Source organism: Homo sapiens, chromosome 12, assembly GCF_000001405.40.
Source record: "Homo sapiens chromosome 12, GRCh38.p14 Primary Assembly".
Classification (NCBI taxonomy): domain Eukaryota; kingdom Metazoa; phylum Chordata; class Mammalia; order Primates; family Hominidae; genus Homo; species Homo sapiens.
Window position 1 is genome coordinate 52,203,065 of NC_000012.12, and position 21,070 is coordinate 52,224,134.

General features: G+C 50.6%; 2 long non-coding RNA genes across 8 annotated transcripts, besides 2 other annotated features; one reads left to right on the forward strand and one right to left on the reverse strand.

Moving 5' to 3' along the window:
* Positions 1-1,758: 1,758 nt before the first annotated feature.
* LINC02874 (long intergenic non-protein coding RNA 2874) lies at positions 1,759-10,519 on the reverse strand. 7 transcript variants are annotated; one of them, NR_164130.1, is made up of 5 exons: positions 10,452-10,519; positions 9,725-9,821; positions 9,478-9,538; positions 3,450-3,579; positions 1,759-3,115 (listed from the first exon to the last, which is right to left on the reverse strand). It is a non-coding gene; the product is annotated as a long intergenic non-protein coding RNA 2874 (long non-coding RNA). The 7 variants fall into 7 exon arrangements; NR_164131.1 differs by lacking the exon at positions 9,725-9,821; NR_164127.1 differs by lacking the exons at positions 9,478-9,538; positions 9,725-9,821; positions 10,452-10,519 and adding exons at positions 5,041-5,324; positions 7,513-7,766.
* LINC00592 (long intergenic non-protein coding RNA 592) lies at positions 7,866-20,816 on the forward strand. The gene is made up of 5 exons (NR_027358.2): positions 7,866-7,956; positions 8,980-9,092; positions 9,535-9,963; positions 18,913-18,964; positions 20,382-20,816. It is a non-coding gene; the product is annotated as a long intergenic non-protein coding RNA 592 (long non-coding RNA).
* Positions 10,383-10,944: an enhancer, noted in NCBI's record as "H3K4me1 hESC enhancer chr12:52607231-52607792 (GRCh37/hg19 assembly coordinates)". NCBI's record gives its function as "activates a minimal SCP1, AML or CMV promoter by ChIP-STARR-seq in naive H9 embryonic stem cells {active_cell/tissue: H9 hESC(naive)}" and the evidence as "EXISTENCE:reporter gene assay evidence [ECO:0000049][PMID:30033119]".
* Positions 18,887-18,966: an enhancer, noted in NCBI's record as "active region_6396". NCBI's record gives its function as "activates an Ori minimal core promoter by ATAC-STARR-seq in GM12878 lymphoblastoid cells {active_cell/tissue: GM12878}" and the evidence as "EXISTENCE:reporter gene assay evidence [ECO:0000049][PMID:35858748]".
* Positions 20,817-21,070: the final 254 nt, after the last annotated feature.

The following is a 21,070-nucleotide window of genomic DNA, read 5'->3' on the forward strand; positions in this document are numbered from 1 at the left end:
CTCATTCCTCTGTGTGAACATGTGAGTGTGCAAATGCGGCTGTCTGCTTGTTCTCCTGTATGTGACTGTGTGAACACGTGGGAGCACATGCCTCCTCACACCCTGCATGTGAATGTGTGTGGACATGTGAGCATGTGAGTGTGCAGACACACCCACTCATGCCCCCACGTGTGGATGTGTGTGTCTCTAGATGTCCTTGTGGGAGTGAGTGTTTGAGCATGACTACTTCCTCCTCTGTGTGTGAACATGTGCGTGTGTGTGTGAGTGTGTGGCTGGGGAAGCGCCACGCCCCAGCCATCCAGCATTGCCTCATCCCTGTGACACAGCCGCTAATGACTGTTTGCCATTGTCTGAGCGGTGGTGGCATCACCCGCACTAATGACAGTCTCCCCTGCCTAATGACCTGGCTCCTGCCCCATTATTTAGGAGCCTCAGGAGCACTGGCCCTGTGACCAGAGAGATGTTGACCAGCTCAACACATTTCCCTTTGGGGTGTTGCGGGGGGGTGGGGAAGTCATAAATCCCACCCCTCCCCGACAGCCCTCAGGGTGCCGGCGTGGGCTGGAATTTCAACTGGCTGATGGCATCCTGGGCGGGAAGCCCCAGGTCTGGCCCTGCCCTCTGTCTCTGGCAGAGCTGGGCGGCTGCTGCCCCTCCCCACAGGTGACCCTGGACCCTGGCAGCCAGATCCATATCAGGTTCCAAAGACAGGGCTTTCCTTTCCACCGTGAAACCCTCAGGCCGTCTCACCTCTGCGAATGGAGATGTCCCTTCTGAGCAGGGCTCTCTGTGCCCAGGAAGCTCTGATCTGCAGCTGACCTTGGGGAGCGAGGGGGTCTGGAGCAGCCAGGGAACCACAGGGTCCAGAGCAGGCTGCCTGCGTGGAGGCCACAGCAGAGCCTGATTCAGCCACACCGTCAATATTTCTTTTATGATCATCATTAAATTAAAATAGCCTCTGGATTATGGAGGAGAGCTGGGCAAGGGGGCTGCCCCCTTTCTGTGAGCCCACAGCCACAGCCATTTCTTCATATTCTCTTCTGGCTTTCAATCTGCTCCTTCCCATTGATGTTCCCCACTTACAGGCAGGCCTCCTCCTACCTGAAGTTTACCTGGATCTGCAGGGAAGCCTAGGACTCTGCCTGGGGCAGGAGGGACTCCTTAAAGGTGTTCTGGGTTGAGAGATGCAGGCCTGCAACTAGCTGTGAGACCTTGAGCCGGGGGTTGGGGGAGCCGCGGTCTCCTCTGCCAATGCAGATGCAGCGGTACCTGCTCCCTAGGGCTGCTCTGGGGAATAGGTAAGCGCTGAGCATTATATAAACCATTCAGCATTATATAAACCATATAAACGTTGCCGGCACACAGCAAGCACATAGTAAATCTTTTTAAAGCCTCTGAACCTGCATTGCCTCCTCTCCAAAATGGAACAGATAATTGCTGGTGCTCATGGCTGTCGTGAGGATAGTGAGAATCCAGGGGAAGCGCCTGCTGCGGAGTGGGGCAGCTCCGGCATCTTTCTCATGGAGTCCTCGGCTTGGCAGCTTCTCTCCTCACCCATGAGGGTCTGAGCGGGGGAAAAAGGAAGGAGTGGTTGCATTGGCTGTTTTCATTGCTGCCTCAGTGTCCCTGTCCTGGTGGGGCACTCCCTCACTTGCCAGCCAGGGACTGTGGCTTGCTTACATTACTTATAGCGGGACTCATCTGTGACTCACTAGAGGGGCGTGAGGAGAGAAAACCAGCCCAGTGCATTACAGAGTATCGTTTTGTAAATGTATGTGTCTATTGGTTGCTGTAAAATGTATTTCTTACTGTGCGTTGAGGTTAAGAAGCTGGAGACACCTGCTCCACTGTCTCTGGGCGGGGCAGAAGCAGGGGCCTGGGGACTCCCTGGTTTTGCTTTGCTCCTCCTCTGCTCCATCATGAGATTCGCACTAAGCGCCCATGTGTGCTGTCCTGGCATGGCTGGGCCCCAAAATGCGAGAGCCCAAGTCCAGCTGGAGACACATCCCTTCCTGCCCCCAACAACCCACAGAAGTGCCCCCTCATGCCATGTGCCTGGGAAGGCCCACACCTGACATCCAAGGTGCTATGCCACCCAGGAGCGGCCTGCAGGCTAGAGGGTGCTGCAGGATAGGCAAGGGTACAACGGAAGGCCTCCCAGGCTTGCCTCTCATCTGGACCTAGGCCCAGATGAGTTTCAGGGCTGAGCCAAGCTGTCCCTGAACCCTGCTCTTTTCCTCATGATGCTGGACACTTAGTCAACCAGCCCACGGGTAGGGCGAGGGCATCAGAAAATGCTTCCCACAAAAGCAGACCAGTTGGTGGTGGGGGCCCTGCAACCCAGGCATGGTTTTTTTCCTTCCCCCAACACAACAGCCACACCCTCAGTGTGGGCCTAAGTGAAAGCTAATGGTGGGCAGGGGCAAGGGGTGTTGGGGCACCCCAATAGCAGTGGCTGCCATTTACTGAGGGAGACCTCTGTGCCAGGCGCAGCACAAATCAACTTCAATCTTTATGACTCTCTTAAAGTGTTCATATCTATAAAAAGGGTGCTCATTTTATAGATAGCAAAGCTGAGGTCCAGAGCAGTTATGTCCACACAATTAGTAAGTGCTGAGAATCAATCCTGGGTTGGTCTCTCTCTGCATCCTTCTGTGGCTTCTGAGGGAGAGACTCATGTGTGTTACTGGGGACACAGCGCTGGCACACAGGCTGGTTCCAGAGGCCAGGAAGAGGGAACTTGGTCTTGGAAGGCTTTGCAGTACACCAGCTGGAGAGGCTTCCTTTGAGGAGAAGCTGACCTCTTCCAGGTACTCCCCAGAGATTCCTTTCCCAGTATAACCTTAGCTGGGGCCTCCCTGGCAATGAAGGCAAGAACTTGCTCATGGGGAGAGCTGCTCCTCATTGAGAGTTTTATCAGTGAGATTCCTTGATTATCAAGAGGAAAAAATTGCAGCAGGGGAGATGTGACTTAGATTCCAAAGTCTTCTTTGGCACTCCTTAAGGGCAGGGACTAATCCTCCAGGGACTAAACTTCCAGCAAAATAGGCTTAATGAACACTGGAGACTCTCGCAACTAGTGATGACTGTGGCATGTGTAGCTCTGTGAGAACATCTGAAAAGTAATACATAAATAAGGGCAAATGAGTACAGGGTAACTTGGGATCTAAGTGCCGAGGGGACGTGAAGTAAGTGGTATAGTAAGTGGTAAAAGTTGGGTGGGGTTGGCCAGGGAAGGCTTCCAAGAGCGGGGAGTATGTGATGGTCTGGGAGGGACAAGGCTTTCTTTGAGGCTGGGGCAGGCAGGGGGAGCAGCTGGCATCTGGCATCCTAGCGGCATCATTCCAGAACCAGCCAGTCCTTGGGAGCCGTACCCCAGAGATGGCTCAGTGACCTGGTACTCTGGGAATTTGCCCTGCCTCCTGGGTGGGGATTGTCCAGCCACACACCTGTCCAGCTCAGTTGGTGCCACTGGAAAATGACATGGAAATGTGGTGTGGCCTTGAGCCAGGTCCCCCTCTCCAGGGTTTTGGCCCAGTTTTGGCCTGTGGCCCATCCAAGTATCTTCTCTGTGAGATGCTGGGGAGAGAAAAGAGGGGAGTGTGGCTTCTGCCAAGGTGGGGCTGAGGGAGATTCTGGGAAGTGGAGTGGGGAGTGCTACCAAGGCCAGCCATCCCCCTCCTTAGGAGCCAGAGGCCAGTCAGGAGTGTGTGTACCCTGTGGTCAGCCTGCTTCCAGACTCGGCTGCATCCGGGGCGGAAGCCCGGACCTGAGGCCGTGGAGAGAAACCTCAGATTCACAGAGCTCCTGGGCTGGAGGGGACTTGAGTCTCCCCAGTTTCCTTACAGAGAGGGAGGTGGGGGCCGGGGGTTGGGAAGGGAGGATAGAGCATGTATATGTGTGTGTGTGTGTGTGTGTAGGGTGGATGGACCCAGGTCATGAGGTTTCTGATTTTTGAGGAATTCCCTGAGGGTGGGGGAGGCTGGTGTCTCTCAGACCAAGGTCTGAGGTGGGAGCAGCAGGGGCACCTGGACTCTAGTGCTGGGGTGGTGGCTGCAGAGGGAGAGACAGGCAGAGCCCAGGTGGCTCCCTGCAGGAAGGGTAGGTGAGGAAGTAGGGCCAGGAAGCTGGAAGGGGTAGGACCTAGGTGAGGAGATCCTTGGTGGGGACAAGGAGGCACGTGTGTCTGGCTGCGCTGGAGCTGAAGGCCTGAGAGCATACAGTGAGATGGGGAGCAGATAATGCACCCTGAGGGCAGAACTCTGGGCCATGTGGAGTCCTCTTCCTGTAATCAGAAGGCAAAGGGAGCCCCTGGTGGTCCAGTAGGACCAGATGGCCCCTTCACCTGGGGCTGCTAGCCAGGCCTGCCCATGCTGTGTTCCAGAAGCTGCAGCCTGTCCAGCCAGGCTCAGGGGAGGGTCTTTGGATCCCCAATGGTGGATTTTGGGGTGGGTGGAGGGGATAATTTGGGGAGAGACATATCCAGGAATTAGCTGGGGAAGGAGAGGTTGAGGGTCAAGATACAGGAGACCTTGCGGTTGGGGTTGACTCCTGGTCTGTCTGATCTCTACGGACATGCTGAAACAGAGAGAGAGCTGAAACAGAGAGAGAGAGGCATCTCTTTGGGGATTATAGTCCCTTTACAGCTGGCATTTAGGTGCATGCCTGCAGCAGCCTCAGGAGTGACAGCATTTGGCCACCTATCTCCTGCACAGCAAACTTCCTGTGCTTTAAAACAAGGGTGTCCTGTTCAGGGTCAGCAGAAAGAGATGCAGGGGAGGGACTGGCCCCTGGCGAGGAAGAGAGCCTCCCCTCCCCTCACCCATTGTCTTTTGGGGTGAGGGGGCAGCACGGGGAGGCTACTGGGGAGCATGGAAGGGCCTGGAAGGAGGGACAGAGATGGTGAGTCACTAGCTAAAGGCCACACGTGGAGGCTGGAGGAAGCTCGTGTCTGAGCCCCATGGGGACAGCTCTGTTGCCGGCTCTCCACAGCCTTTCCGTCTTGTCTTGGGCTTCTTGCCCAGGCCCTGCTGTCAGTACCTGCTCCCTGAGCCAGTGCCTGGCGCACACAGCCATGAGATCATGGGGCGGGGTAAATTGGCAGGCCCCCGATCTCCCCTGGAGCTGTGGCAGGTGCATGTTGGAGCTCTGGGCTTGGCGCCTCCGTAATCTCCCTCCTGGCCCCTTGCAGGGAGGTGGCTCCTCCAACCAGCCAGTTCTGCCTTTTCCACCTAAGTCCCCAGACTCCAATAAAGGTGGAACATTGGCCCAATCCATGGCATGAATTCTTGAGATTAGACTTCAAGAAGGACTTCCTACTCAACCTATGGGATGGTGGGATAAAGGTAGAGGGAGTTAAAATTAGGAACAAATATTAATAATAAGTGTATTATTCATCATCGAGGGCTTATTCTGTGCCCTGCTCTGTGCTAAGTGCTTTGCAGGTAGTTCTCATGTAATCTTTACCATAACCTTGTAGAGCACAGAAACTCAGGCGGAGCTTTCGCAGCCAGTGAGCAGAGGAGCTAGTGCTTGTGCTGAGCTTCTAGCTGTGGGATAAATCTGGAGGGTACAGTGAGGCTGGCCACTGGAGGATCACGTGGGCTCCCAAGTGCCCATGATCCATCATTTAGCATTCAGTTGTGAATAAGACAGGGGTATGGAGGTCAAACATATAGGAAAGGTAAGAGCTGAGTTCATGTTCCAGAGGGCGAAAGTCAGGACGCAGAGGTGGGTGGGACTGTTTCTGTTTGGCATCTCTTGAGTCAGAAAAGAAGCAAGCACATCAGAACGGCAGCAAGAGGGATCGAGGTGAGACGGCAAGACGTTCTGACTTCCAGGGCTGCATGTCATCAACACGTGAGGGGCGTGTTTCCTGGAGAGGGAGAGCTGCTTACCAGCTCAGTCGGGAAGTGGGAGGATGGACGGCCCACGGTGGGGTCTCTGTTCAGGCTTGTGTGTGAGCACCTGTGTGTGCATCATGTGTGTGTGCCCAGATATGTGTGTCCACAGTCTTTAGTGAGGCATCTTCTGCCTCCACGGGCTCTGAGATCTCCAGCAGTGTCTGTTATTGCGAGCACAGGTCCCCCCGGAGAGGACTGTTTCCTTTGCTGATGGTCTGAAAGGTACTTTATGTTCGGATGCAGTGCTGTCTTGATTGGGGACCATTCTTTTTCCTCAAATGTCCTCCAATTTGGCAGACCATGTATTCCAATCTGGAAAACTCCACCCTTACTTTCAGGAATTTTTCTCTGCCCCTTCTCTAAGGACCTCCATTCCCTTTGCCTTTCCTTGAGGATAAACGCCTTTCCTTGATATGACTCGTTCGTCCCTGCTGCGTTCCAGCTTCCACAGGATTGGATCCACTGTAGCGAGTCCACACATGCTTAGTAGCACGGATGCAGGGGGAGAAGGGGTGCATGAATGACTGTGTGTGGCTGAGGACAGCCCTCGGGTGCTCTCTGTCAGGTGTCATGTTGGCAGCTGGCCCTGTCTGCCCTTGGTGTCCAAGCCTGTGCCCCGTGTCAGGGTCTGGGGTCAGATTCTGTGTTTCAAGATCCAATAGCAACACACACACACAAATTCCTGGATGTCAGGGCCAGGTGGGACCCCAGAGACCACCTAGGTGCATCTATCCTTCATTGATATACAAGGCACCCCCCAGAGAGGGAAGGGCCTTCCTTGCCCAATATCACACAGGAAGTTGAGGGGATACAGCCGGGTCTCCTGACTCCTAGTCACAGCTCTCTTCACCATTCCACATTCTCTCCCTAATTTTGACAACCCCCTGTCCCTTCCTCTCTCTCTCTCTTTGCTGTCATCTCTGTACTTTTCTCATGCCCTCCCCTTTCAGAACCTGCCCATTTCTCAAGGCCTATCCTGGCCCTCCTTCACTCTGGAACCTGCCTGATTCCTCTCCCCTAACTTCTTCTGCACCATTAGTGACAAGTCCTGCTAATTCTCATCCCCTAATTGTCTGTAACACAAATTAATGCTTGATTACTTGATGCTCTAATGACCTGGGCTCTAACCAGGCTCAATTGCTTTCTAGCTGCGTGACCTTGGGCTACTTACTTAACGTTCTTAGTCCTCTGTTTTGTCATCTGTAAAGTGGGGCTGGCTTTTGAGCCTGAGTAAATAGCAGAAGCCAAGACTCAGAGGGGTAAACTTCAAAAACGGCAGTGTTAAAATCTAAGGGCAGTGTTAAAATCTAAGGTGTGATGGTGGTGTGTTGGGAGCAGTGGTGAGAAGGCAGGCAGGGGTCAAACTGGGGGAGCCTCAGCTGTGGGGGGCTTATGTTATTGGTAATGGGGCTTCCATGAGGCTTTTTGGAAGGGAAGTAACAAACCCCTACCTAGAGCTTGAAGTGGGGTAGAAAGGGCACCGGCTTTGCAGCTGGCAGATCTGGATTGAAATTCCAGCTCTACCACTGACTAGCTGTGTGATGCTGCACACATTGCTAGATCTCTCTGAGCCTCCTTTTTCAATCTATAAAATAAGGATTATACTCACCCTATGGAATTGTGGTAAGGATTAAACAAGAAAAGGTCTATTAATTGCTTAGCTTGGAGTCTTGCACTTAGTAAGTACTTAACAAGGAGTAGCCGTGATTACTGGTGCTGTCGTCATTACCCAGCAGCGCGTGTCTGCCTCCTGACCTGCCTCTGTCCTGGGTCTCTCTGGGCCCTGGGTGTCAGGCTCATTCCTCATTTCCCAACCTGGAAGCTTCCCAAGGGCAGGGCTCACATGCATCATCTTCTCGCTCTGGCTGTTTCAGGAAGTGATGGGAGTGGGGAAGGCTGTTGAACTGGTGATGTCACAATTTGGGGCTTCTGGGTGGTTCTGCAGAGGCCCCAGGGACCTGTAGGCAGGTGGAGAGGGGATGGGGGAGGTCTCAGGTCCTCTTGCTCACCCATCAGCTGTGTAGTGTCTGAAGTGATTAAGGAGCTTGGGGAGGTTGGTGTTGACAAGATGTTAAGCCATTTCTCCCAGGGACAGTCCCTGGGGCCTCAGGCACTGTGGTGGGCCTACCACTGCTCCGGAACCCCATGGTGGGGGCAGGCCCGTCCCCCAGAGAGGGAGCATGGAGGTGGGAGCTGAGGGGAACTTGACTGACAGCTTCCCCACCCCCGGCTGAGTGTCTCCTTGGCCCATGCGGATGGAGGGGGGAGCCAGACCACACTATCAATGAAATAATTAGAGCCTAATGTTAGACAGTGTTTCTTTAACACCTACTAGGGGTTCACGGGTGTGCTGGGTGCAGAGGACAATCATTTGGCAAGGTTGGCTGGGCCCCTGCCTGCAGAGAGGTTACAGTTTAGAGGAGGATTCAGACAAGCACACAGAGGATACGCACCAGGAAGGGAGGAAGCCTGGGGGCTACGGGAGCCCTGAGGGGTGCACTTGGCCTCTCTAGAATGGCCGTGTGAAGTTTTGTAAGGGTGAGACATAGCTGGCCCTGTAGGCTGAGCCAGGGACATGCAAGCAGTTGTGTGTTTGGAAAGCAGACCAGGGTGTTAAGAGGGTCGTGTGGAGGTGATGGTAGGGGGTGACAGTGGCTGGAGATGAAGCCAGAAAAGTATGCGGGGCTCTTGAATGCTGACATGAGGAGTGAGCTTTCTGTTCCAAGGGAAGCTGGGAGCTGTTGAAGAGTTTTAAGCAGGAAGGGATGTGGTCAGATGCAGGGGCTGCAGTGCTATGGGAATGGGGAGGATTGCGAGGGGTCTGCCTTTGGGTTTCATGGAGCAAGGGAGTGATGGCAGGGGCATGCTCCTGCAGAGGGAGGAGGGGATGGGGTGTGTGGGTCTAGAGCAGGCAGTCTGAGGTGGGCCTGCCCAGGTGAGAGGGTGTGGGGACTCCATCAGGTCGGAGTTTGGAGCCCAGGGCAGGGCTGAGGGAGGGGGAAGGGTGAGGTGGAGGGCTGGACTGCAAGACCAGGCAGGGGAACCGCGGCTTCAGCTCTGCCAGCACTTCCCTTAGGCCTCCCAGGCTGGTCTGCTCCACTGGCCCTCAGAAAGACTTGTCGCCTCGCCGAGCCTCAGTGTTCTCATCTGAAGAATAGAGTGGGCAAGGCCTTTCTCCTACACACTCAGGTGTCTGATTAGTGAACAGTCACGGTGTCTCCAACTGGGCCCTGAGTTATGGGAGAGGCAAGCCCATGACCCACCAGGCCCCACCAAGAGCCGTGCCACAGCCTGAGGTGGGCTCTCGGTGTTGACCAGCTCTTGGAGTACTTCAGGAGGAGGTGGAGGGACTGGGGAGTTCTAGGAGTGTGTCCATGATAAAGAGCCGCAAACAAGATCCCAGGTCCAAGGCTGCCTCACCTCCCCTGTGACATGGGGTGCTCTCTCAGACCCTTCCAGCTCATTGGGCTTTTGAGCCACCCCTGCGTAGTGGGACCAGGGCCCCCAGGGCTGGGAGGACAGGGAATATGGGGTTGTAGCTTAGGCGTAATGGGGTGAGGACCCCAGGACTCACCCAGCTCTGAAGGTTGCCAGATCTTTGCATCTTACTGTTCATCTTCTGCCTCTGCAGAGCCCTGAATGGGAAGAAATGGGTTCCATGTGCAGCAAGCCAGGAGAGATTTAGGCAACGAGAACCTCCAGTTCTGTCTTAGGGTTCCCAGCTTTCTCCTTGTCCTGAGGGAGCCGCTGAGCCTGTGGGAGATGAGGGGTGCCCATTCCCCAGTGCTTCTCACCCTCCCCCACCTGCCCTCCTGGGGTACCTTTGTCTGCCACTTGCATCCTATTGGAAGCTGTCCCCAAGTGCGTGTTAGGCAGGTGGCAGGTGCTGGAGCAGAGTGCACCACCCTCCGGCGATCACTGTGAGTTGGGGTAAGAGTGGGGTGTTCCTGCCAGCCCCAGGAGAGGGGAAAGCAAGCCCCCGTCCACCCTTGTGGGTCTCTGCTCCTGGAAAAGGTGCTCTAGCAGGCTCATCTGTGTGAGTCACTGTCTTCCATGTGGGGTAAGTTGAGCCCTGCCTTTTGGATCTCAAAATCCAGGGATGCCGACATCCTGGGTCTGGAGAAGGGAGGAGGCACAGGGCAGCAGAGCCCTGGCCTGTCTTTCCTGACGGGGTATGGAGCTGGCAGGACAGGGAGGCTAGGTGGCTGGTGGTGCAGGGCGTGCCCATCCCTCTACCTCCTTCCTCACAGCCCTGCACTGCTCTGTCCCGGTCTGGCCCCTCTTCTCTCCTCACTTTTTCTTCTCTGCTTCTCTTCTCTCTCACTCCCCTCCTATCCTCAACCTTTTCGTCTCCCTCCCCGCAGTCCTTCCCTCTGCCTCCTTTATTTCTTCCTTAACCCCCTGCCCTTCCATTTCCCATCTCCTCCTCCACCCTCCAGTTCTATTCCATCCACTTGCCCCACCACAGACCCGCCTCCCTGAGTTCAAGCTGCCCATTCTTCCTTCTTGCAGCCCCTGCCCATCTGAGCAGCAGAGTTCATCCCATACCCTGCAGGGAGTCCAGCGCCACCATGATGTCCCTCTCTTCCCTCCTTGAGGCTGGCTGGGTCCAGCCTGAGCTGTGCCACCTGCTGGCTCAGGCCAGTGGGATTGTGCCTCAGGCAGGCTCCTGCCCTTCCAAGCCAAGGGCTTGGCTGCAGACCCGACAGCGGCTCCCAGAGGTGAGGCTGGGGATTGCAGCATCCTGCCAGCTGCAGTTCCCTCCCTGCTGTACTCTCGTTCCTGATGTCCTGAAGGTCCCGCTTACAAGTCTACTGGTGGGCATGAACGTGCGAATGCTGTGTGGACACCTGGGCATAGTCTGTTGTTCATGCATGCACGTGCGCATCTGGTGTGTGTGCATGATTTGAGTGTGTACCTTCTGCCTTGAGTGAGCACCACCCCTGGGAACCGCAGTGTATGTGTGAGTGCTGAGTGCACATGACTGTGCAGGTGTGTGATGGAATTCAGGCTCCTGCAGACTTTGCATATTTGTGAGTGTGTACATTTGGGAGCATGTGCGATAGCACAAAGTCATGTGTTTCCCTGAGTGCTTGGAGAAGCTTAAGTGCCCTGCCAAGTGTGTGCTTCTCTGTGCCTGGGGACACCAGTGGGCACCGGAATAGCATGAAGCCACGTGGACATGTGTGAGGTGGGAGGGGGCTGTGGGCACTTACACAAGGCTGCTTGTAGCATGCACCTGTGTGCCCAAGAGGGACTATCTGCCTGTGTGAGTTATGTGCACATGTGTGTATTCACTGCACGTGTGAGGGATATGAGACCATATCCCTGTGGCACCATAAAGGCACATGTGAGCAGTGAGCAGGGCCTGAGGAAAGCTGTCTGTGTCTGCATGAGGAGATGCATCCTCACAGGCCCAGGGTGTGGCTGTGCTGAAAGGGGACATATTTAGTGATTTATGAACTTTTAAGGAAAAGCCTCAGCCCCCATTCAGGCCCCAGACACAGTGACCCCCTGCCCCCACTGCCACATCACTCAGGCCTGACATCAGCCAGGCACCTGAAACCACAGGAATGAGAGGTGATCTCCTTGCTCCTGCCACCTCACCTGCTCACCCACTGCAGGGCTGATGCCAGGGGACAGCAAGGATGCCTCCCGAAGCACCTACTGGGTGCAGGAGTGTGCTGCCAAGACCATGCTGCAGTCCAGGCCAGAGACCCCTCTGCAGCCATGGAGGCCACGCTAGCCCCACCCGCTGGCTGAGAGAGGGTTGCAGGGAGTAGGGATACCTGTCTCTGCCTTGGTGGACTTGGGGTGCAAGTGCCCCCTTTCCCAGGCAAGCCTGACTCCTTCAGGAGAGCTGGTGGGCTTCCCAAAGTCTGCCCTCTGGGACTGACTGGCCATGAAGCAGAGGAGAGGAAGCCGTTGATAAATGTGGGATGGAGGAATGAATGAAGAAACGGTGAGGCTGGGTGAGGTGGCTCACACCTGTAATCCTAGAGCTTTGGGAAGTTGAGGCAGGAAGATTGCTTGAGTCCAGGAGTTGGAGACCAGCCTTGGCAACATAGTGAGACCCTCTCTCTGTATTTTTTTTTTGAGACAGAGTCTCAGTCTGTCGCCCAGGCTGGAGTGCAGTGGCACGATCTCGGCTCACTGCAATCTCTGCCTCCCAGATTCAAGCGATTCTCATGCCTCAGCCTCCCAAGTAGCTGGGATTATAGGATTGTGCCACCACACCCAGCTGATTTTTTGTATTTTTTAGTAGGAATGGGGTTTCACCATGTTGGCCAGGCTGGTCTCCAACTCCTGACCTCAAGTGATCCGCCTGCCTTGGCCTCCCAAAGTGTTGGGATTACAGGTGTGAGCCACTGCGCCTGGCCCAATCTCTCTCTCTCTTTTTTTTAAATTTTAGAAAAGAAACAGTGGTTCCCAGGGGTGGTGGTGGCTGGCCCCAGGGAGTGCACTGAGGGTGAGTGGATGGCTGTGCTCGGTGCTAAGAGATTGGCCTTTGAATTCACTTCTGCCTGATCCTCATTTTTCTCCTTTCTACGAAAGATCAGAAATCCCCTTCAAGTTAATTATACCAATGAAATTCAGAGGTGTGCCTGGTGCCTGGCACATGGTAGGTGCTCAGGAAATGACAGGTGTCTCCTTCCTGAGAGCTGACAGCTGTCCTGAGCCCCTTCCAGAGCAACCCCTGGACCAGCCATGAGTCAGCTATGGCTGGGCAGCAGGGATCCTCGAGTTCCTGTTCTGGAAGCATGAGTCAGGCCCAGGTGGGAGAGGAGGGAGGTCATACTGGGGTCAGATGCCGGACCCAGGCAGGATCAGACAGGCGCCTGGCTGCCACCTTATCATGATGCTTGTTGCTAGTAACTGGATCTCAGAAGATAAGGCCCTGGGGCTGAATGAAGCATTCCAGCTCTGTGGGCCGAAATGTTGTTGACATGGGCTGTACGATGCGTAGATGCTTTTCAGATAGCACAGCCTGAAAAGGGCCAGCAAGCTCCCGAAGGCATTGCCTTCACAGCTGCTTTTGCCACTACTGCTGGGGGCAGAACCTCCAGCCCTAGAGCTTGCCCAGCCTGGGGACCCCATCACCTCCATGAGAGCTCCTGGATCTAGCTTGCCAGCCCAGAGCCCATCTCTGATTTCTTGAGAGCCTCTATTCTTTATCTAGATCATAGCAGTCACCAGTGAGGACCCAGATGTGCTTTCCACCAGGCTTTGGAGAACATCTGAGGAGTGGAAATTCCTATTTTAACCCTCTTTCCCACACCTCTGACTCTTGAGCAGGGGTCCATTGTCCGCTGTTGCTGCAAACTGTGACCGTTCAGTACAATGGACAGTGCTCATGACTGGGGTGGGGTGGGGACAAGCTTCTCTGCGCTGTGCAAAAGTCAGTGTTTCAGCCACACTAGGCATGTGCCCAGTGCCCAGCTCCTTATCTCTAGGAGCCATTGTCTCACTTGTTTCTTATGGCAGATAAAGATGGCTTATCCATCTCTTAGGAACAAAGCACGCCACTTTAGACAGTCACAAACATGAACGACCTTATTTAGGAATCAGGTGCCTCAGAGAGAGCCTTTGCAGGCTGAAACATGGAGGGAAGTGGGGACTTATCTCTTTGCCCCCCAGATATGCAGAAAAAGGCAGTGCGGGAACACACACACACACAGACACACACACCTGGACAGAGAAACAAAGCATTCATTGAGCGCTTGCTGTGGACCGACCCTTATTAGGCACTGGGAGGGAGTGTATAGAAAAGTGAGTTTGCACAGCGCTTGCCTTTAGCAGCTCACAGTTGCATGGAGAAGACATGCATCAGCAAATGCTTACTGCTTTTCCATTTTTGAAATTTGTAGGACTATCCCAGGGAAAACATTGAAACTGTTAAAATATGCAAAAAGTGAAGCAGCAGCTTTGCTGTGGGGAAAAACAAACCTCAGAAACCCTTAGTGACAGGCCACTGAACACTGGTTCCTAAGGCAGTTCTCTCCTGGTTCCACTGGCAACTGCACCAGCTGGACCCCTGCCACCCCTGCTGGGGAAACAGTGAAGGGGAAATGGCATAGAGGGCCAAGGACAACAGGTTCTGGTGACTTAGATTTTATATATATATATACACACACACACACATATATATATATACACACACACACACACACACACGTGTATATATATGTGTATATATATGTGTTTATATATATAATGTGACAATACCAGAGAGCAAAGGCACTGCTCTCTTCCTCTCCCCTCCTCCCTTCCCTAGGCTCCTCCTTCCCTGAGCCTTCAAGGCCTGATGGTAAGGTCTCGGTCCCAGTGGAGGATAGGAAAAGTCCCGGTTTGCTTCACTTCCTATCCCAAGCCCTAGAGGCCACAGGCCACCGACCTCCTCCTGGAGTGCTTAGTGCTGAGGTTCCTCACTGGAGCCTTGGCCTGCAGCCAGCATCCAGCCCTCCCAGGCCAGCCTCGGGCCTGAACCCCTGCACATGGAGGTGTTTGTCTGCCCACGCCTGGCAGCCTGCCCCAAGACAGTCAGGATGAACAGGTTTGGCCACCTGAACTGGCTGCAGCCTTTGCCTTTAGTGAGATAAAGAAAGACTCAGAGCTTTCAGCCACAGCCAGAATGAAGTTTTGGGACTTTTTCTTCCCCTTTGAAATAATTTTTAACTTATGAAAAAGTTGCAAGAATAGTACAAAGGACTTTTTTTTTTCTGTATCATTTGAGAGTAAGTTGCTGGCCTGATGGCCCCTCACTCCTGAATACTTTAATGTGTATTTCCTCAAACAAGGACATTCTCACTCTCACATAACCACAACACAGCCATTAACACCAGGAATTTCATCTCAATACATTACTGCCATCAAGTCCTCAGACCCCATTGGTTTTTCCCAGTTATCCCGGTGATGTCCTTTAGAGCAAAATGTTCCAGTTCGGAGTCAGGGGGTTGCGTGCGGCTGTCATGTCTGGTTAGCGTTCTCGAATCTGAAATAGTTCCTCCGTCTTGATTTCCATGACCTTGACACTTGTTTTTTGTAGTACGTCCCTCAATTGGGGTTTGTGTGATGTTTCTCCATGAATAGATTCTGATTCTGCATTTCTGGTAGGAAAATCACAGAAACCATGCTGTGTTTCTTCCTATGGCATCCTGTCAGGCCCTGCACCATCTTAATTTGTTCCATTACCGGTGATGTTAACTTTGATCGCTTGATTAAGATGGTGTCTGCCAGGCTTCTCCGAGGTAAATTACTTTTTTCCTCTTTGTAATTAAAAAGCACTTTATGGAGAGATCCTTTGAGACTATGTAAGTATCTTGATCTTCATCAAACTTCCTCCCACTAGTTTTAACACCATTGATGTTTCTTGGCCTAATTATTACTGTGATAGTTGCCAAGTCCACTATTACTTCTGCATTTATTAGTTGGCATCTTCTGTACAGAAAAAGAAACTCTCTTCTCTACATTTATTTATTCATATTTTTATTTACATTAGTGTAGACTCAGGGATTCCTATTTTACTCTTGATTTATTTTGGCTTTATTTTATTAATTTTAATTTATTTTTGTTAATTTATTTTTGAGATAGGGTCCTGCTCTGTCACCCAGGCTGGGGTACAGCGGTGTGATCGTAGCTCACTGTAACCTTGAACTCTTGGGCTCAAGCAATCCTCCTGTCTCAGCCTCCCAAGTACCTGGGACTTCAAGTGTGCACCACCATGCCGGGCTAATTTTTTTTTTTTTTTTTTTTAAAGACACGGTCTTGTTACGTTGCTCAGGCTGGCCTTGAACTCTTGGCCTCAGGTGATCTTCCTGCCTTGGTGTCCCAAAGTGCTGGGATGACAGCACCTGGCCTCATTATTTATTTTGATGCTGAAAATCTCCCTGCTTGGCCAAGGGGTCACCCCTTCAGCAGGCTTCTGTGTCCTTTTGCCATACCCCCTCCATTCTTTAGGCACTCCCTTGCTTTCTAAAACAAGATGTTCCTGGCTCATCTTGTGCTTTCCCTATCCCACCCATGGCATTGGCCATCTTTCCAAGGAACAGTGGTTTCTCTTGGTGGAGAATGAGATATGGAAACCGAGATCTGGGCACTAGTTCCCCTCATTGCTTTTGAGAGTCGTTCAGTTTGTCAGTGATTCTTGGACTGGAATCAGGGGAAGGATGTTTCCTTTAAGCTTTAATATTCGAAACCAGCAACTCTAAGTCTTGTTTGGGTGGTGGGCAACATGGAAATAATGAGACCTTTAATGAAAAAATATAATCTATTGATTGAATAAACAATGTTCTACAGGAAATAAAATCATCAGTGGAGTTAGCAAATACATGTGCATATCTGTATATGTGTTTATGTAAATATACATCTACACAATTTAAATCTGTATCTATCTATCTATCTATCTATCTATCTATCTATCTATCTATCATCTACCATCTATCTATCTATCCATCATCTATCTATCTATCCATCTATCTGTCTATCTGCCTATCTTGAAGGCCTTGAGTCCACACTGAAAACTCCAATACCAAACCCATGATCACATGGTTCATTCAGTTCCTCCCTTTCCATACTTATAAATCCTTTCTCCCTTAGTGAGAAGTGTGTCTTCCATCATACCTGTGTGTATAATCAGTCTGTCTGTGTAGCCACCACTGCCAGCACAGGTGCCCTTGTCTGTACTGGGACAAAAACCCTCCCAGCTGCTGCCCTGGCACAATGTCTGCCTTCCTGGACCCAACTAATAGCTTTGGGACTAAATTATTTAGGAAGGCAGGCAGCTCTTTGGACATTTTGCTGACCAATGAATCATGACTTTTCCTGATCTTTGGAATGTTTTGCTTATAACTTTTTCTTAAAAATGATATGTTTTGCCATTTTTTTTTTTGAGACAAGGTTTCACGCCTGTCACCCATGGTGGAGTGCAGTGGCACGATCTTGGCTCACTGTAACCTCTGCCTCCCAAACTCAAATGATTCTCCTGCTTTAGCCTCCTGAGTAGCTGGGACCACAAGCTCATGCCACCATGCCCGGTTAATTTTTTTTTTCCTGTGGAGACGGGGTTTTGCTATGTTCCTCCAGGCCGGTCTCAAACTCCTGAGCTCAAGTAATCTGCCTGCCTCAGCCTCCCAAAGAGCTGGGATTACAGGCGTGAGCCACCGTGCCTGGCCTGTTTTGCCATTATTAAAGTACCAAATTTCATGAATAACTTCTGCAAAGGAGAACCATTTATTTATGCACAACACTTCTGACAGCAAATGTGTGAGTTTTCTACACAAAACAATTCTCCAGTTCTCTGCAGACACCAACTGGGTGTCCTACAATTTAATTTAGTTTGAACACTAACTACCCAGGGTAGGGGAGAGCCTGCAGGTTAAAGTCTCAGTCCCACAAGACTGCTCCCATTTCAGATGCCAATCGCAAGTACTGGGTACTCACACCTCTGTGTAGTTTGGCCACCAATCCAGGGTTCCCACAACCCGCTCCTTAGGTTCAATAATTTAATGGCTCACAGAACTCAGAGACACTTTCTTTAGGTTTACTGGTTTATCATAGAGGAGATTATAGAAGACAGACATGAATAGTCAGATGAAGAGGAAATAGGACAAGGTCTGGAAGGGTCCTGAGTGCAGGAGCTTCTGTCCCTGTGGAGTTGCGAGGCACCGCCCTCCTGGCACATGGATGCATTCTCCAACCTGGAAGCTCTCCTACCTCATAGTTTAGGGATTTTTATGGACACTTCAACACATAAGCATTATCAATTATTACTCAATCTTTAGCCCCACTCTCCTCCCCAGAGCGTGGGGAATGGGGCTGAAAGTTCCAAGCTTCTAATCAGACATTGACCTTTCTTATGACCAGCCCCTATCCTGATGCTCTCCAGGAGCCCACTGGCAGTCAGCTCATTAGAACCAAAACCCCACTCCTATTGTCCAGGAAATTAGGAGCTCTGTGTCAGGAACAGGGATTGAAGACTAAATATTAGAAAAAAAGTTGCTCCTAGCACCCCTATCACTCAGGCTATTACAAGGGTTTAGGAGTTCTGTGTCAAGTGCTGGGGGCAGAGACCCAATATATATATTGAATTATGACATAATTTGGAGAACAGAGAAAGGGAGTCAATCATAATTCCAGCCCTCAGTACAACCATTGTTTAGTATTTAAACATATTTCATTTTAGTTTTTTCCTCCAGTGCACCTGTTTTTCTTTTAAGCATAATTGTAAGTATAGTGTTGCTACCTCTTTCCATTCTCCATGTTTACTTAAGACAATAAAAACATTCACTGCTTATGAAATACCTGGCACATACCAAGATCTGTATAGATTGTTTTCTCTTTCTCATTTAATCCTTAACATAATCCTGGGAAGCAGGCATTTTCCTGACACTAGAGATAAAGAAACCAGGGCTCAGGGAGTCTCAGTTGCACTTTGGATAAGTGATAGAGCTAGGATTGGAACCTGGATATCTTTGACTCTGAAATCTCTGCTCTACCCATTGTGATATCCAGCCTTCCCAAGGCGTAAGTATTTTTTTTTTTGATAGTACAACACTATTCCCATAACTCTGATTTTACATGCAGACATATTATGCTAATGAGAGATGGTTTCACAACTTAACCACGCCTCTGTTGTAGAACACATGAGCTACTTTCTCTCACTCTATAAATAATGCCGTGATTGATATCTTCATGGATATGGCTTTTAACCAAATTGTTTTTCTAAAGGGTTGCCCTAATTTGAATGCCAGACTTAAACCGTAATAGCATATTATTATCTAAAAAAATAGTTGGTGCTTTTTTAGGCAACAGTATCTTGGTTTAATCAGCACATAGTTGAATACAGGCTTGGCTTTATTCAAGAAACATTTAAAGGGTACCTGCTATATACCAGGAATGATGGTAGGAATGGAAGATACACAGGTGTTTGCATTATACGACTCACTCAGAAAGCCAAAACCAGGGCGTTTCAATTACTCTAACCCATGACTCACTCAGCTGATGGTTTCAGGGGCTGTGCTGAAGAAGCCTTGGTGATATGGGTGCAAATGCCAAAAACATGGGTAAGTCTCACTGGCTCAGGGAAAATGTGATGCAGAGTAGGTGGCATTGCCAGCTGATGAGTGTGACAGTTACTAAGTTACTGTCTCTAGCTCCAAACCCACACTTAGACTTTCAGCTTTGGGGTGCTGGAGCCGACTCATACGGCTCACATGTGCCTTGTCAGCTGGCTTCTGGCTGGGATGTGCAGATAGGGGGCGCCAGAGGGAGACTTCGAGGCGTTGCTTTCTGTGGGCATCCCATCTGCTTGCTGTTCTTGTGGGCAGTGCGTCTTCACCCTGCCATCCGGTTGGCAGTTTTCCCTACACTTGGAGAATCAGCCTCATTGTGCCCTCCCACTCAGAGATGCCAGCACCAGCCAGCCTGGTACTGGTACTGTACTACCCCTTTCTCAGAGCTCTGGGCCCCAGGCCCACAGGGCCCTGCTTTTAGCACCTGCCGAGCAGTGCTTCCTCCTTAACAGTTTGAGTTTCAGGGGCTCCTCCTCTAAGTTTCCAAGTTTTCATAACCTCTAACTTCTTCCCTCTGTCACCTCACCCCTAGCTATGGTAGCTACTTCTGCTAGTTCTGTGATATTTTAGAGTTAGTTACTCTTTCACTTACCCAGTCAACAACTCTAAACCTAGTTAATAATTCTATTTATGTATTTATTTTTTGAGACAGGGTTTCATTCTGTCACCAAGGCTGGAGTGCAGTGGCGTGATCTTGGTTCACTGCAACCTCTCCCTCCCGGACTCAAGCCATCCCCCTGCCTCTGTCTCCTGAGTAGCTGGAATTATAGATGTACACCACCACACCTGACTAGTTTTTTAATTTTTTGTGAAGACGGAGTTTTGCAGTGTTGCCTGGGCTGGTCTCAACTCCTGGGCTCAAGAAATCCACCTGCCTCTGCCTCCCAAAGTGCTGGGATTACAGATGTGAGCCACCGTGCCAGCCTTAGTTAATAATTCTTTACTCTGTTCAAAGAACTGGTGTGGGTATTGTCTCCTTATTGAACCTGACTGATAATGGACAGGCCTTGAGCCCCCAAGTTGCTGAGGCCCTTATGGTAACCACATGTGTTATTTTGTTTTAGTTAACAGTGTACACAGAGACATGAGGAAATTGTAAAGTTGATTTTAAATCAACTTTAAATCAATAAAGTTGATTTAAAAAAAATCTTTGAGGATTGGTTGAAGTCTGTTTAATAAGCCATTTGAACTTGGGATCCCCTACCCCACTCAGAATAGCCAAATTCTGTCCCTCCTCTCCTCAGCAGAGGTTTATTCTCCAGAGATGGCTAGATAGAGGGTCTTTGTAACAAGGTACGGTACATCCTATTGAGGGAATAGGCACCTTACTGAAAAGATAAGAGAGTAAGTGAAGGTTTACAACTGAATGCTGAGACCCCTCTGTCCTCTTCTTTCATTTTGTTTCCAGAATGCTGGAAGCCAAGCTTGCACATTCTAGGCAGCCATTTGGAAGATTCTTCTCTGCGCATGACCAGCTGAAAAGGAAAAACCCCGAAACATTGGCACTGTGATTTCTCCATGTGAACAGTTTAGTTCGCCGAGGTGGACATGCCTCATTCATGCTTATGGAGTGACCGACCAGCCTTTAGTGACACCCCCTGAAATGTGAGTCATCCATGGGTCACTAGTCATTGGAGAAGAGCCCCTTATACAAAACTTGGAGCTCAGACCACAAACAACAACAACAATCCAAAAAATAAAAAAATGAAAAATTAGGAGCAGAGACTAAATGGAAAGATGGAAATATTAAAATAAAAATATTATTTTAAAAATTAATATGTATTAAAATTTTATTTAAAGTAAAAATAAATAAAATAAAAAAATTAATATTAATTAATACCAATATTCTCCCTTTTATTAATATCATCAGAAAAAGAAGATATTTCATCCTGGAAACAAGAGCAGAATGCAATAAAAAAGGTGTAGTCAAAAAACAAGATGAGCCCTAGGAAGTTAAAACAATGATAGCAGAAATGAAAAATTTAGTTAAAGGCTTTGAAGAGAATATGAAAGAAATCTAGAGAGTAGAGAAAAAGGACAAAGTGCTAGGAAACAGGAGAGCAAAGATTAGAAAATCAGAGACCCAGTTCAGGAGTT